We start from the raw sequence: 14,860 nt of genomic DNA, 5'->3' as shown, positions 1-14,860 counted from the left end.
TCACACATTTCACAAGGCTCTTGAAGTTAGAAGGGACTCAAGGCCTGGCATCTACTGTGAGGGCCAAATTTTATCCTGGGATGAGAATATTTCCTGGGTATTTAGGCTGCAGCAGGCCCTTTTCTAAGCATTTTGACATGTATGGATTATGCAATCACTGTGAGAAGCCTGTGAGGGAGGCACAATTATCATACCCGTTTTACAGATGGGGAAGCTAAGCCCAGAGATGGAAATTGCCAAGAGCACATGACTCTTGCTCAGAGTCACCTCATTCCACCATCTCCTCTCCACGCGGGCAGTCATTTGAGGGGTTCCCTCCTAAAAATGGTCGAGTATGTTGCTAGCACTAAGTGACAGAAATAAGATAGTGTTCTTCCATATGTAGCTAACACAGTTTTGTAGCACATATGTTTCAAGGATTAAAATGTATGAAGAAAGATATTTACACTGTTCATCAACAATTTCTAGATTGTTTTAAAAATTGGATGGCTCACCCAGGCCCCTGTCACAGCCTCCCGCCTGCCTTCCAAACACATGGGCCCTGTAGCTCTTGCCTCACACTGATGGCATTCAGAGAAATCCCCATCTCTAAGACATCTTCAATAACTTTTCTGGTTTAAAAGGTGAGCACTGGGGGAAGGGGGATAAAACTACATTAGATTAACTTTCCAGGGGGACATCCTTCCCAGGCTGCATTTTGCCATTCTGAAATGTGACCATTTGCCAGCATTGCTGTTTTCCTGAGCACATGATGTCACTGATATGGAGGAGAGGTCTTGCCTGGAAGACAGGGTCCCCTTCCCCAGAATGTGGCATCTGCACAGCCAGCCTGAACTGGCAGATGGACATGTGTAGCCCAACAAGGATCAGAAACTGAAAGCAGAAGTGCCAAAGTTAATTTGCTCTGAACTATTCCATCACTTTCACTCTTCCCCATGGAAATCCACCCGAAGTCCTTGACTCCCTTCCCAAGGCCTTTTTTCTGAGGCTCCAACTCTCTCTTCCTTCATCCACCTAAGCCCAGCCCCTGCTTCTCTTCTCAAAACAAAAAAGTAACATCCACCCTCTTGCCTTGAATATCTCATCTCCCAAAACTTGGATTATTTTATGTGGTAACTGCATTATTTCAATTTAGGGTGAGAGTTGGGATGCAGTCTGTATGAACCAAAAGGCAAAAATAACATCACAATGTATTATTCAAAAGAATTAAAAAGAAATGTCTATGATTTCCAGTTTTTATTACCAGCACTTCACTTATTGCTTTGGGGACTTCTGGGTTTGTTCTGGTTTGTTTTGGTTTTGCTTCTTTCCCCCCAACATAGCAGGAATACTTAAAATCTAAATATGCAAAAAAGAAAAACTGAAAGTTTTCAAAAGGGAGAAATGCTGATCTTGTCTAATGATGCCACAAGTTTACTCCAAAATTGCTCAATACCCCGTAATGGAGGAGAGAAAATTGATCGTCCTCATTATCACTGCAGCTCTGTCAATACCAATATTGCCTTGTTTTGAATAAAATGCGCTGTTTTTTTCAACGTTAGTTCCAGTAAAATGGGGTTTTAGTGAAGATAGCAGTAGCAGGAAACCAGTGTGGTTTCTCCTCCTACAAATGGATTGATTTTCCTAACGCATATTACTTCCAACGCAGGAGACGGGATGGAGGTGCAATTAGGACTCAGTGGTAAGAGCACAGGGTCACCAGGTTGGCCAGCGGGCTGGGCCCGCAAGGCAAATTAGCACAGAGTGATTTGCGGGGCAGCCTTAAGGAATTTTCTGCATTCTTCACTTAACGACCTAGCCTTTAAGTCCACGCTGTCTGTCTGTGGATGTTCATTCTTATGTATCGCTCTCTCTCTGTTCCCCACTTTCTCTCTTGGTCCAGATTAATATGGTCCCCAAAGCCCAGCGAGCGCTGGGTCCTGGAGCAATAGGTCCCCTAAAGAGGCATGGGTGTTGGGTTCAGCATTCCAAGATATGTGCGTCTTCTGCATATGAACCAAGTCATTCTCACACAGAAATGAAAACCACCAGAGAGGCCCAGTGCCTGCTGCCCCAGACACTCTGAAAGCACTAGGGGCTTTACTGAGCTACTCAAACTTGGATTAATGATTTGTTCCAATTTGGTCAAAATGTCCTTTTCTTCATGATTTTGAAGAGAGATGATAGACTTTAAGTGACTTAAGCTCTTTATCAAAAGACTGTAAGTGAAATGCCAGCAATAAATGGGGCCTACGGATGAGCTTTACTTGACAAGTTATGGCTTTTACCACTGCCTACTTAGAATTATGTCTCTCTTTATATGAGCATGAACTTTCCATTTTGCCATGGTCCCTCAGCCTGATATGCTGCTTCACAGTGCCCTTATGGCCTGGTAGGCTTGGGAGTTTATGATCGTGGTTTAGGTGTAAGAGATTCCAACCCCCATGGAACCAGCAGAATCCACATGTAAAGGGCCTGGCTTCCTCAACGTAACTAGGCAGATCTGTAACCATGGGGATGGGTGGGTGCCTGCTCCAAACTTTCTGTTTCCTTTCCAAATTACATGCAGATGGTGGGCAATTCGTCCTGTAAACAGAAGTCCAGGATCTCACATCTACAGCATATTTCTCTCTTTCCCATTTTTCTTCCTATCCTCCACTTTTGTCCCCTCTGTACTGCAGCCGTAGTGACAGTCTCAGCTTCTGCTAAACACCATGCCCTTTTCCAGTAATGCCTGAAGCTGGGAATGTCCTTTCCAATCCCATCCCTTTGCTGAGCTCCTGCTTATTACTCAAGAGGCAAGTCACGTGTCCCTTCATCCAAGAAACTTTTTCTGACTTTCCCAACCAGCACTGTCCATACTTCAATCATGTTAAATTTCACACTATGGCTGGTTCTCTCTCTCTCTCTCTCTCTCTCTCTCTCTCTTCTCCTCTCCCACCCCCACAACACCGTGGGTGGCTGCTCGACCCGTGACTCTTCACCTTGGTTTCCCTAGTGCCCATCTCTGCCTTAGACATTAGACAGAATAGCCGCCTAGTAAGCACAGGCTACTCTAAAACACAATAGGCGCGCCTAACCCAGAGGGCTGACAGATAGTCAGAAAGAGTGATGTGCCAATGAAGCGTTGAAGGATAATGAAGAGAGAGCTAGGCAGGTGAGGAAAATGGGCTTTCGGGGAAAGGAAACAGCACATGTGAAGGCGGGGCAGGTGAGAGTAAGCAGAGCCTTTCAAAAGGTTGGGGGGTCATGAGGCAGAGTTGCAACATTCGGGCCCTCGGGTGCCCTGCAAAGGGGCTCGCTGTGCTGCTGGCCATACCCTGCCCCATGCCAGCGCATGGGCAAGGCAAACACTGTGCATAGAGCCCTGAACTCCTCAGATTGCCAGTCCTGGAGGGCTGGGAAGCCTGGAGACCGAGCACTGACCTTGCTCTTGAGAACTGCTTGGAGATTCACCCACTTCTGGTACAGCTGATCTGAGAAGCCCCCAAGTCTCTGAAGCAGCCTCCACCAGATGCTCCAGATGACAGGACTACCCTCCAATTTGTTGTCCCCATTCTAAGCTCTGGTCCCAGGCCCAGGCTAATCCAAATCAGTATCCTAACACCCATTCCAGGCCCTGGTACAACAGTCCCCAGTGTGGTCCCCAGCATGAAAGTAGGGCTTGTTGCTCTAGAAGGTCCCCATCTGTAGAGAGCCTGCCTGCCCGGGACCTCCCAGCTTGGTCCTGACTTTCTGGGGGTCCTGGAAGTGGACATGTCTGTGCCCCAGCTCAGAGCCTGCCCACCCAGCTGGACGCTAAGCTCACCCACCCCCAAAAGGTGAAATTCATTATATGATGTCCTCACTTCACTTGGGACTATTACTGACCTTGCCCTAAACCTGCTAGGACTTAACACTCTTCTGTCCTTCCCCACCTAGCATAGACATGCATTCAGACATGGCACAGGCCTCATTGTCTCTGCTGAATTTTGATCCCATGGATTCTGATCCCTCGCTCAAGCTGACAGGGACCCTTCTCCTCCCCATTTTAACATCTGATGACTAACTGCCCCTCCCTACCTTAAGCCAGCTACACTCAGCTTCTCTTAGATCACTGATAAAGTGCAGAACCAGCCAGAGAAAGTACTGAGTCTTCTGACTCATAAGCAGATATATTAACATACAGTTCAATATCAACTTCCTGTTATTAATTTATCAATAGTGTAATGTCAGTTGGAAATATACCTAAAATGTATTACCTTCTACTTAATAGTTTCAGAATTTTATATACCACGACCCAGAACACAGACTGTCAGAGCTAGAAGGGAAGGGAGCAGGCGTGGGGAGCCAGCCTCTGATGTACCCATACACAGGGCAGGAACTGTACTAAGGACTTTACAACTATGCTCTCTTCTACTTTTCTCAATGGGAAAATATCATCACACCCATTTTGCAGATGAGAACACTGAGACTTAAAAGGGTTCCATCAATCTCATCAGGCCACATAGCTAATGGGTGGCCGCTCTGCCATGCCAACACAAGCCTTACTCCAAGGCTCATGATTTTGATACTGCATCATGCACTGATTATAAAAAGCTGGAATTTAGTATCTCATATGGGTCATAAATTGATGGCCTAGAGAAGTGTTTCATTTGGTGGGCTTCATTTGGGTGGGCTTCTGCTTCTGTTTCATGTCTCCTTAATTAAATGTACACACCTTTAGAAGAGCAAGTGCTCTCCTTTGGCCACAAGCTCCACCACTGACTACTGTATTCACCTGGCTTCACTTATGCATGTTCATTACCTCTCTGGACCCGAGATGTTGAGTCTGTGATCTCTGTGATCCAGGCCAAATCTGAGTAGTTGAAATTGAGATACAGAGAAACAAGGTAGCCTACGTATGTCATGGAAAAGGAACATTACCAAGGTCAGCTGATAATTAGGCCAGGGCTGAATCCATCTGACTTTAACTTACACCACCATTCCACATCCATGGAAGCTTGCTTTTTATCCCTTCTTCTCCATGTGAGATTATGTCTGTTTGCTTTTTTAGTTTTTAGTTTTTAGGTTTTTTTTGAGACAAGGTCTCACTCTGTCACCCAGGCTGGAGTTCAATGGCACAATCATGGCTCACTCACTGCAGCATCAACCTCCTGGGCTCAAGCAATCCTCCTGTTTCACTCTTCCAAGTAGCTGGGACTACAGGTGCACACCACCATGCCTGGCTGATTTTTTAAAATTTTTTGTACAGATGGAGTTTGCTGTTGTCTAAGCTGGTTTCAAACTTCTGGCTTCTAACAATCCTCCTGCCTTGGACTCCCAAAGTGCTGAAATTACAGGCATGAGTCACCATAACTGGCCCTATTTGCTCTTTTTAAGAGACTACCATGAGAAGTCACCTGGATTTTGACCAGAACCTGAGATTTTCCACTGAGGAATAACAGAAATACTTTGTGTAAGGGGCTCAGTGGGAAAGAGCATAGGAAACAGATTTTGAATGTATTTGGGATGTCCAATGTGTTATAATTTAACAAAGCAAGAGTCCTACTTTACCAATTTCCTTGTTGGTGGAAATGGCTCTTTTCAAATAGCCTGCCCTTATGCAATGCTATCCAGGGCTATTAGTGCTGTCAATATTTTAGTTACTTGAAACTCATACAATTAGTTCAGTGTTTGAAATACAGACTAATTCCAGAAAATGGCACCCTTTCTAAATTTAGGCATAAATGAGTTGATAGATACATGCAGCCCTGAACCCAATCTTCTCTGTGTCTTGCCAGGCTGTTCTGGAGGCTTCCATGGCAGCAGTGTCTTCACTGCAGCCTTTAGATCTCTGGAATTCACCCAAAAATAACGTGAGATGCAGACTGAGGATGACAATAGTCTCTCTAATGTCCTGGCCTGACTGTGCCATTGCCTTTCTGTAACCTCTCACTTCCCTATGAGAAAGGTAACTTGGTGGGGGGCAGGAGGTCCAGTCCTCAGGTCAGGCACGTACACTCACTAGTGCAGCAATATTGATTCTGTCGCTTAATTCCTGTGAGTTTCAATTCTTTATCTGCAAAATGGGTCTACTGATATCCACCATGCACGGTTGTTATAATGATTAAATGATAAAATGCTTGTAAAGCTTTTAGCAACTGATGATAGTAGCTGCACCATTTAGCAAGTGTGTCCTGTGTCCCTGTGCATGTTCTGCTCACCATGCTAAGCTCCATGCATTGCTCCATGTAATCCTCACAATAACATTTCAAAGAAGATGACATTATCCCCACACTACACAAAGGAAGTTAAGAATCAAAGAGTTTAAATAATTTTCCCATGGCTCTGTGACTGCTTGGTGACCCAGCTGAGACTTGACCACAATCTGCTGTTTTCAGAGCCTGAAGTCTGCCCTCTATGGTAAATGTTCAGTAAACACAGTGATAATGACAATGATGACATTGACAGTGATGTCAATGAATGGCAACCCAATAAAGTTAAATTCTCTTAGCTCAACATTCGAGGTCCTCCACAATGTGGCTTCAAGAGACCTTTCTAGCCCCACTCATCCATATGTTCTATTCATGTGTTCTATTTTAGCCTTTTCATCCATGTGTTCTATTCTAGCCCAGCTTAACTATTCAGAGTCCCCAAATAGGCATCTTTATGCTTCTTTCTGTGTCTGAGCTTCTCTTTCCTTCCTCTTCTACCTGATCTGGCATAAACATCCCTTTCCTTTAAAGCCTAGCTCTGGTGTTCCACCTCTCTGAGTCTTTCCCTCTCCTGTGTCCCAAGGCCTTGTGGGCAAACCTCGGTTATAGCCATCAGGATGTTGTTTTACTATCTTCTACACTTCCCTGCCTCCCATCCTCAAACCCAGATTACAGGTCCTGTGACGTTTGTCTCTGAATCCCCAAAGGCACATAGTAGGTGGTCTGTAATTATTCACAAAAGCAAACATATCACATGGGCAGCTACACAGTCTGGCTCCAACCTCTGCTAAACTAGACCTGGCTTTCCACTCTCTGCATTGTGAGTGCCTGGTGCACAGCAAACACCCTCAGTTAAGACCTGATTAGAAGCCGTAGCCCTCAAGGAAGTGGAATGGCATTTGGGACTGGAAAGTCCTTCCAATACTGGTCAGAGCTCTAGCCCACGGCCACATCTCTTATGACAGACACTCATGGCTGCTAAGCCTGCTAGAAAGGGAAAGTATCTTTATTCCCAATTAGTTACTTTTTTCTGGGGCCAACTCAGCTCCAAAAGAACTGAGCTGGACTCCATTTTTGCACTGTGCATAGTAAAAATCCCACTACCCAATTTCTAATATTGATGATGATGCCAGAAGCAGAAAAACAGCTGGAATATCTGTTTCCAAAAGCAGCTCGTAGAGCTAGCATTTTGGAGGGGAAAAGAACCTCTGGAACGAAAGGACCACAGAACAAATGTAACGTGGCCATCACTGGAAATAAACTAGAAGAGAACACCCATAAGGTTAAGTTGTGGCCTCCAAGATGACATGTGCACTTTGGAAAGCCATCAGTTTCTCATCCATAGAGGAGAGAGAGCAAGTGAATAGTGTAAAGCGGGTATAGATGTAGGGAGTATTAGGAACCACCAAGCTGACCTAAAGGAAGATGACAGGAAACATACTTTCCATCTTGCTAGTAACACTGACATCTACTGAAACTCTCTGCTCCATTTCCTACACCAAAACCTGCGGAGGCCTGCCGTTTTGTTTCAGCATTTCCTTGTGTGGTCTCATTTCTCATTTGATTCACTATTCTATCTGTTGTTGTGAGGTTTCCCCACTCCCTTACAGAAATTAATTACTGTAATTATCCAACTTTAATAGCTGCTGATTTGGCATCTGCAGAAAATACTGGAGAAAATGCACTACATTTCATTTGCATATTTGAGAGACAGCGAGGGAGAATTAGACTTTTCCTAAATTACTTATTGTGACCTGAATATAGAAAAAGTAACTCGCTCCAAATGGAATTATCAGTTGCATACTTCATTTGTCCAATTACTGTCATAGGATAAGCAAAGAGCAGAGGTTCTTCCCCATATGGTGATGTGATGACTCAGGGAATTCATCTAAAACTGAGGCTCATCCATGGAGTTTCCAGGCCTGTAAGAGGCCGCAGTGGATTTTTGCAGAATACATCCATCAGCAACTGTTTGACTGCTAAGACCACCCAGACCACTGGCTGTGTCTTTCCAATTGCAAGTACAATGCGTTGTATGAAATACAGCTAAGGAAGCCAGATGCCCTCACAATAAGGCTGTTGTACCTGGAAAGGTGTGCCATGCCCAGAATGCATGACCCTGCAGTCTGTGAGAGCTGCAAAGATCCAACACATCTTAAGCTTGGGCCAGAGGTGTTTCAGATCTTCCCCTCACCATCACCACAATCTTAGAAAGCCAAACAACTTTCCTGAGCCCCAAATACCTGCAGAATGGGAAGCATCTCATGGACTTCAAAAGGTTGCTGTGAAGATTGGAGAAATAGCATTCCTGGCACAGAGGTGATGTCTAATGTGTAATAGTCTCCATGTTGTCCCAGGTAGGTCCTGGCTTAAATACCAAGCCAGAGAATGTAAGATCCCAGACTCCAAGTAATTCACGGGCTACAAGATGGGATTTAGGGGTCAAATGTTTTTACCCATTTGTTAGATGAGTAAGGTAATGACAGCTGCTGATCTTTGAAGATATTTCCCCATAGGCATCTCTCACCTACACACACCTGTCACCCCTCACAGAAGAGGAGGCTTTTGTCCCCTCCCACTAAGTCTAAGCCGAGCCCCTGACTAACTTTGACCAAAGCTGGCTTTTCCTGGGCCTAAGTCCTTGGCAGGCCTGGCAGCTTCTGCTTTTGTGCCTGTGGGGGCCCGGAGCCACTGTGTGCCCTGCTAAAGAGCCTGCCTGGAGGGACACAGGCAGAGGCCAGATGGAGAGGGCTATGTAGAGGAGACCCCAGGATCCCACTGACAGCTTCAACCAAGGCCCCAGGTATGCCACTCAGCTAAGCCAGCTTAGGAACCCTTTGCCAGGGAGCCAGCCTTGCTGAGGTGCCACAGCTAAAGAGGTCATCCTGGGAGGTTCAACCCCACCAGCACCATGTGGAGCAGACAGGCCATGCCTGTTGTGCCCTTCTGAATCCCTGACCCACAGAACCATGAGAAATGACACGGATGTTTTTAACTTCCTATCCCAGTTTATACCAGCCTACCCCTTTCCCAAATCTCACTGTTATGTGTATCTCTGCCATTGGCTTCACAGCACTTTCCCATCACTCTCCAGCAGGGGAACAGGAGCAGGAACAAGAAGTCCATTCCCCAAAGAAGGGACATGGAGACATGAAACTGGGTCAGGCCTTTTCTTAACTCCTGCGCCAAACACTACAGATTTCCTTTCCTGGAAACAGTTGCTGTCCCAGAGCTTCTGCTCCGCCACTCCACTTTTCTCACTGATCTCAGAGGACTTGCAATATTTTTATGAGGCCACTGTCATTTTTAGGCTGTGACTAATAATGCCAACTAGTAGCAATTTCTTCCCCAAACATGTTGCCTCCGTCTGAACTCCTGGACAAAGCAAAGCTGGACTCCTCATTGCTTCCTGGGAGTGCCAGGTCCCTCTATTCATCCTCTGGAAGCCACTTCTATGTATAGGGAAGACCAGGAGTCCTGCCCCAAGGTAAGGCCACATTCAATACCAGGTTCACAACTGGGCATCCTTGAGAGTCATGTGCATTGTCTGAACTCACATTTCTCCATTGGTTAAAATACTGGCATTGATGCCCTCGACAAAACTGCAAGAGGAATAAATAAGCCAAGAAAGGGCCAAGCATCAGCCTGGGACAGAGTAGCTGCTCAAGCCAATGAATCCTCTTTCCTTGGCTGCTGATAAACCTAAACTGGTGCATTTCCCAGGCCTTCCTCAACTCTGCCCAGCTCTTTCTTGGAACTTCTAAGGTATTTGTTCTTTATCTTGAGACTGCTGACTCCAACTTCGTCTTGTTCTGTTACTCCATGCCCTCACCCATACCAGTTTTCCTTCCCACAATGAGGCTGTTAGTTCTGCCGGGACAGACACTTGAGAGTCGCCTTGGCTCTTTGTCTCTCCATTACCTGTAGCCTCCTCTTCCTGAAAGCCTGTGATTCTGCCTCTGGACAGGTCTCTTAATTCCTTTCTTCACACCTTCTCACAGACACCACCCTAATCCAGCTATCACCACACATCACATGGACCGCAGGCAGAGACTCCTAACTCTTGCCCCTTGCCTCTTCCTCTCAACCCTCATTCCCTGTCCATTCTCCACCAAGCAGCCAATGTAATGTTTTTCACGCAAAATCTGATCATGTCACCCTCCACTCACGTGAGAGAGGCTTCTTGTTATCATTTACATTGGCAAGGCTCCCAGAAGCCTGCATGCCCCATTATCCCCATCATCGCCTGACCAGGGAGCCCTTGCTCCTGGCCCTTCCAATTTGCTCCTCCCCTAGCCACCAACAGCAGGCCCCTTCCCACCCAGTTCACACTAGCTACTCACCCTTCAGGTCTCTGCTTACATGTCACCATCTAGAGACGGCTTCCCTGACCTCCAACCCTTTATCTAAATTAGATTTAATGAGATCTGTTCCTGCCTCCATTCTCATTCTTCTACCTCAGCACCCTGATTTTTCCCTGTAATATCACTCGTCACAATTCATAATTTCATATTCACTTGTGAGCTCATTTATTTAGTCTGTCTGCACTGTCACTACCTCCTCATCCCCATCATAGAGGCGGGCTCTGTGGACAGTGTCTATGCTCATCTTGCTAGCTGTGCATGAGCTGCACAGAGCACAGGGCCAGGATCTCAGCCAGCATCCAGGAGAGAGATGAACATGCCAGGGAGCAAAGGACTTCCCACCAACGCCAGGTGCTGAGCTTAACACCTGGGACTTGCCTTACTATGGTTCAATTATTTTCAGTTGTTTTTTTGTTTGGCTGTTGTTCTTAGAAGGTAGCTTTGTTAACAGAAGTGATCTGTTTTGGATGGCCTTGCAAGGGTGGGCACAACTCAGTCAAGTGTCCAGGACACCCTGGTACTTTCCCACTATAGGTGTTTCCCATGGGGAGCTCTGCTAACGCAGGGCACTGAAGACACGGACAAAAGGAAAAAAGCTGTCTTGGGTCAGAAGGCATTTGAGAGATCAGTCATGTGAAGATGACAAAACACACATATTCAACACCAGGTACCTGTGGGTGATCTTCATGGTACAACCGAGGCAGCAGCCTCACCATGATGCACACGACCCCGGGATGCATGATTGCAGCATCTCCCTCATCCATCCTGCAGAGAGAGGGAGAGCCAGACATGAGACACGGACCTTCCAGTTTCTTTCTATTTTCACTGAGCTTCCTGGATCTTTCTTTCTAAGACAGATCATGGTACACATCCTGTCTTATTACCTAGATGACATTGAACTACTCCATCGAGCCTAATTTCCTCCAACTCTAAAAGGCATTGACAGTACCACACTTTCCCCCTACAGTCATAGAAGAATGCTTTTGTGCTCCAAGGCACAGTGCCTGACCCATAGTTGATGCTCAGTGAAGTTAGTTCCCTGGTTTTCTTCCCTTCCCTCCAGATACGTTGGAGATTGAGAAGCTCTGGTTTCATATTGAACACACACACACACTCACTCACACACACACACACACAGGCTTCTGGGTCCCTTCAAAATGGTGTAAGCACACTCAGCTCTGTCCCACCCCCTGAATACCGAATGCAACTAAAACACTTAGAACTCATGGAGCAGCTCTTGGAGGACTCTGGAAAGTAAATGGTAGCCGAGAAGGAAACCAAACTCAAGCACTATGAACTGGCAGTGAGCTTTCTGGGCTTCCCCTCTGCAGCATCCCCTGGTGTGAACTCACAGGTAGCCTAAAACTCGCAACTGTGCACAAGGTGTAGACATGATGGAAAGAGCTCCAAGAGAAGTCCTCTGTTTCTGGTCTGAGGAGCAGGAAAGGAGGTTTTACAGGTCACAGAGCATGGAGGAAATCCCCTGGGATTTTCTTTGTTTGGTTTCCCCATTCTTTCCCAACCCATCTTTCAGGCAATTCCCTCAGCATCAGCAACAGCAGCAGCAGCCAGGCAGACTCTAAAACTCTCAGTGAAGAGAAACTTTCTCTCTGACCAGAGGACCTGTAGTCCCAAGAGTGTAGGTAAAATTCCCATTGCTCTTTTCTCCTTTTCTCCCCTCACTGCATGGCCCCAGAGACAGATACCAGTGACACAGGGAAGAACAGAGAAACAAAAGCGCCAATTCTAGACAGAGCAGGAAGGGACCCCTTGGGAGCCAGCAAGTGTTAAGGAAAGGATGAAGAAGAGGAAGCTGAGGAAAATGTAACCACAAAGTTGTATATTAACCTCTGGGCTGAGTTCTGACTGTGTATGTGCATCTGACCCTAACTAGGAGGTAAACCACCACACACAACCAGTTACTGCATGAAGCAAGTGAGCGCACATCAAATCTCCCTGCAGTCTTTGAAAACTGAACTGATACTGGAACCAGAGAGTCCAGGGAAGATGGGCAGAAACTTGCAACCTGAACCTAAGTGGGCTAGTTCCCTACCTTAAGATATATATATATATATTCATTAACATTCTCTATAAGATGACAACAAAGACCAGAGTTCATAAGATAAGATTCAAAATGTCCAGAATACAACCTGAAATTGCTCAACATAGAATGAACCAGGGAAGTCTCAACATCTCATGTGGAAAAAGACAACCAACAAATGCCAATGCTGAGATGTCACAGATGTTGGAACTATCAGACGAAACCCTTAAAGCAGTTATTAACCCAATTCCAAGAAGTAAGAGTGAACATTTTTCAAATAAATGAAAAACAGAAAGTTTCAGTAAATAAATAGAAGCAATAAAAAAGAATCAAGTAAACACAACAACTGAAATTTGTTTAAACTCACTAAATGAGAACAATAGGAGAATGAGATGAGAGGAGAGTCCATGAACACGAAGATGGAGCAATACAAGTTGCCTAATCTGAACAACAAAAAGGAAAAAGATTACTAAAAATAAAGACAGACTCAAGGTCATGTGTAACAAAGGATCTAACATTTCTGTCATTAGAATCCTCCAAGGAGACGAGAAAGAGTATGGTATGAAAGAAAAAACGTTTGAGAAGTTTTTAGTACTTCTTTCTTCAAAGCTGGTGAAATACATAACCTTAAAGATTCAAGAAGCTTAGCAAAACCCAAATAAAATAAACAAAAAAAATTATGCCCAGACACAGCACAATCAAACTGCTGAACACTAAAGAAAATTTTAAAAATCTTGAAAGCAGCCAGAGAAAAACAACACATTACATTTAAGGGAACGACAATTTGAATAACCTTGGATTTTCTCATAAGAAAGCAGAAGTCATGGAAACAACATTTTTAAAGTGCTACAAAAATACACACAGAATTCCATATCCACATGCTTCCAGAATGAAGGCAAAATAAATGTGTTCCCAGATGAAGGAAGACAGATTCTTGCCATCAGACTTGTTCTAAGAATAATACTTTTAAAATTTCTTCAGATGGTAGGAAAATAATAACAAAATAATGAAAGGAAACTTCAGGGATGAAGAAAGAGCAACAGAAATGGTAAATATTTGGGTAAATATAATACACTATTATTGTTCTCTTCTTAAGTTCTTAAATTTAGGTATGATGGTTGAAAGTGACATTGTATTAGATGTAATACATAAGACAACCACAACAAAAATAGGGAAGGATAGAGGGAACGGCGTAGAGGTAAGCTTTCTATAATCCATTTGAAATAGTAAAATGTCAATTCTAAGTAGACTGTTAAAAGTTAATTAAGTATACTGCAGTCCCTATTGAAAGCACTAAAAAAAAAGGAGAGACAAAAAAGGAGAGTCAAAAAATTCAGTAGATAAACTCAAATTGAATACTAAAATATATTCAAATTGTCCACAAAAAGGCAGGCAAACAGAAGTAGAGGAACAAAAAAAGAGTAAAAAAAAAGAGAAAACAAACAATAAAATCCTGAACCTAAATTCAAACACATCAATAATTCAAACACATTAAAAACTGATAGACACTATTGTCAGAATGGAAAGAAATAAAAACAAAGCTATATGCCATCATTAAATATTGTGATATAGATAGGTTAAAAGTAACAGGATAGAAAAATTTATACCATCCTAACAGTAATCAAAAGAAAGCTGGTGTAATTCTACTCATATCAGGGAAAACAGACTTTAGAGCAAGGAAAATGACTCATAATAAACAGATTATATGATATGATGATTAAAAGAGACATAACAATTCAAAACGTGTTTGCACTTTACAACAGAGCATCACAATTCAGAAAGAAAAACTCATAGATCTGAAAGGACAAATGGCCAAATCCACAATTATAGTTAGAGAGTTCAACACTCCTCTCAGTAATTGTTCCTTCAAAGTCATAAACTACCTTCAAACGGTTTTCTTCGAAGCCACAAACTACCAAACTCAACAAGAAGAAATAAGTTGCCTAAATCATTTATAGCTATTACAAAAACCGAATATGTAGCTAAAAACCTGCCCACAAAGAAACCTTGAGGCTCAGTGTTTTCACCAGCAAATTCTACCATACATTTAAAAGAGAAATAACACCAGTTCTACACAGCTTCTTTCAAAAACACAAGAGAAGGGAACACTTCCCAATTCATTTTATAAAGCCAGAATTACCCTGATATTGAAAACAGAAAAACACAGTATAAAAAAACTACATTTCAGTATACCTAATGAACATAGGTGCAAAAATCCTCAACAATCAGCAAATAATACCTAGCTACATATAAAATAACGAGGGTACTATGGCCAATTGGACTACCCGTAAATGCAAGGC

The 14,860-nt window shown here is 44.0% G+C and overlaps 1 protein-coding gene across 12 annotated transcripts in view, besides 2 other annotated features; it reads right to left on the bottom strand.

The window, feature by feature from the left end:
- The window catches only part of WDFY4 (WDFY family member 4), a 298,084-nt gene that overhangs the window by 211,326 nt on the left and 71,898 nt on the right, over nucleotides 1-14,860 (bottom strand). For all 12 annotated transcript variants that reach the window (XM_011539988.3, NM_001394531.1, NM_001370153.1 and 9 more), the window contains one exon: nucleotides 11,191-11,284. In XM_011539988.3, coding sequence (XP_011538290.1) covers nucleotides 11,191-11,284 — 94 coding nt within the window. The remainder of the gene's footprint in view (nucleotides 1-11,190; nucleotides 11,285-14,860) is intronic.
- Nucleotides 6,107-6,156: an enhancer, noted in NCBI's record as "active region_3341". NCBI's record gives its function as "activates an Ori minimal core promoter by ATAC-STARR-seq in GM12878 lymphoblastoid cells {active_cell/tissue: GM12878}" and the evidence as "EXISTENCE:reporter gene assay evidence [ECO:0000049][PMID:35858748]".
- Nucleotides 6,167-6,216: an enhancer, noted in NCBI's record as "active region_3340". NCBI's record gives its function as "activates an Ori minimal core promoter by ATAC-STARR-seq in GM12878 lymphoblastoid cells {active_cell/tissue: GM12878}" and the evidence as "EXISTENCE:reporter gene assay evidence [ECO:0000049][PMID:35858748]".

This window comes from Homo sapiens, chromosome 10 (assembly GCF_000001405.40).
Source record: "Homo sapiens chromosome 10, GRCh38.p14 Primary Assembly".
Taxonomy (NCBI): Eukaryota; Metazoa; Chordata; class Mammalia; order Primates; family Hominidae; genus Homo; species Homo sapiens.
Note: the sequence above shows the minus strand (reverse complement) of the source record. Positions and strands in the feature narration are given on the sequence as shown.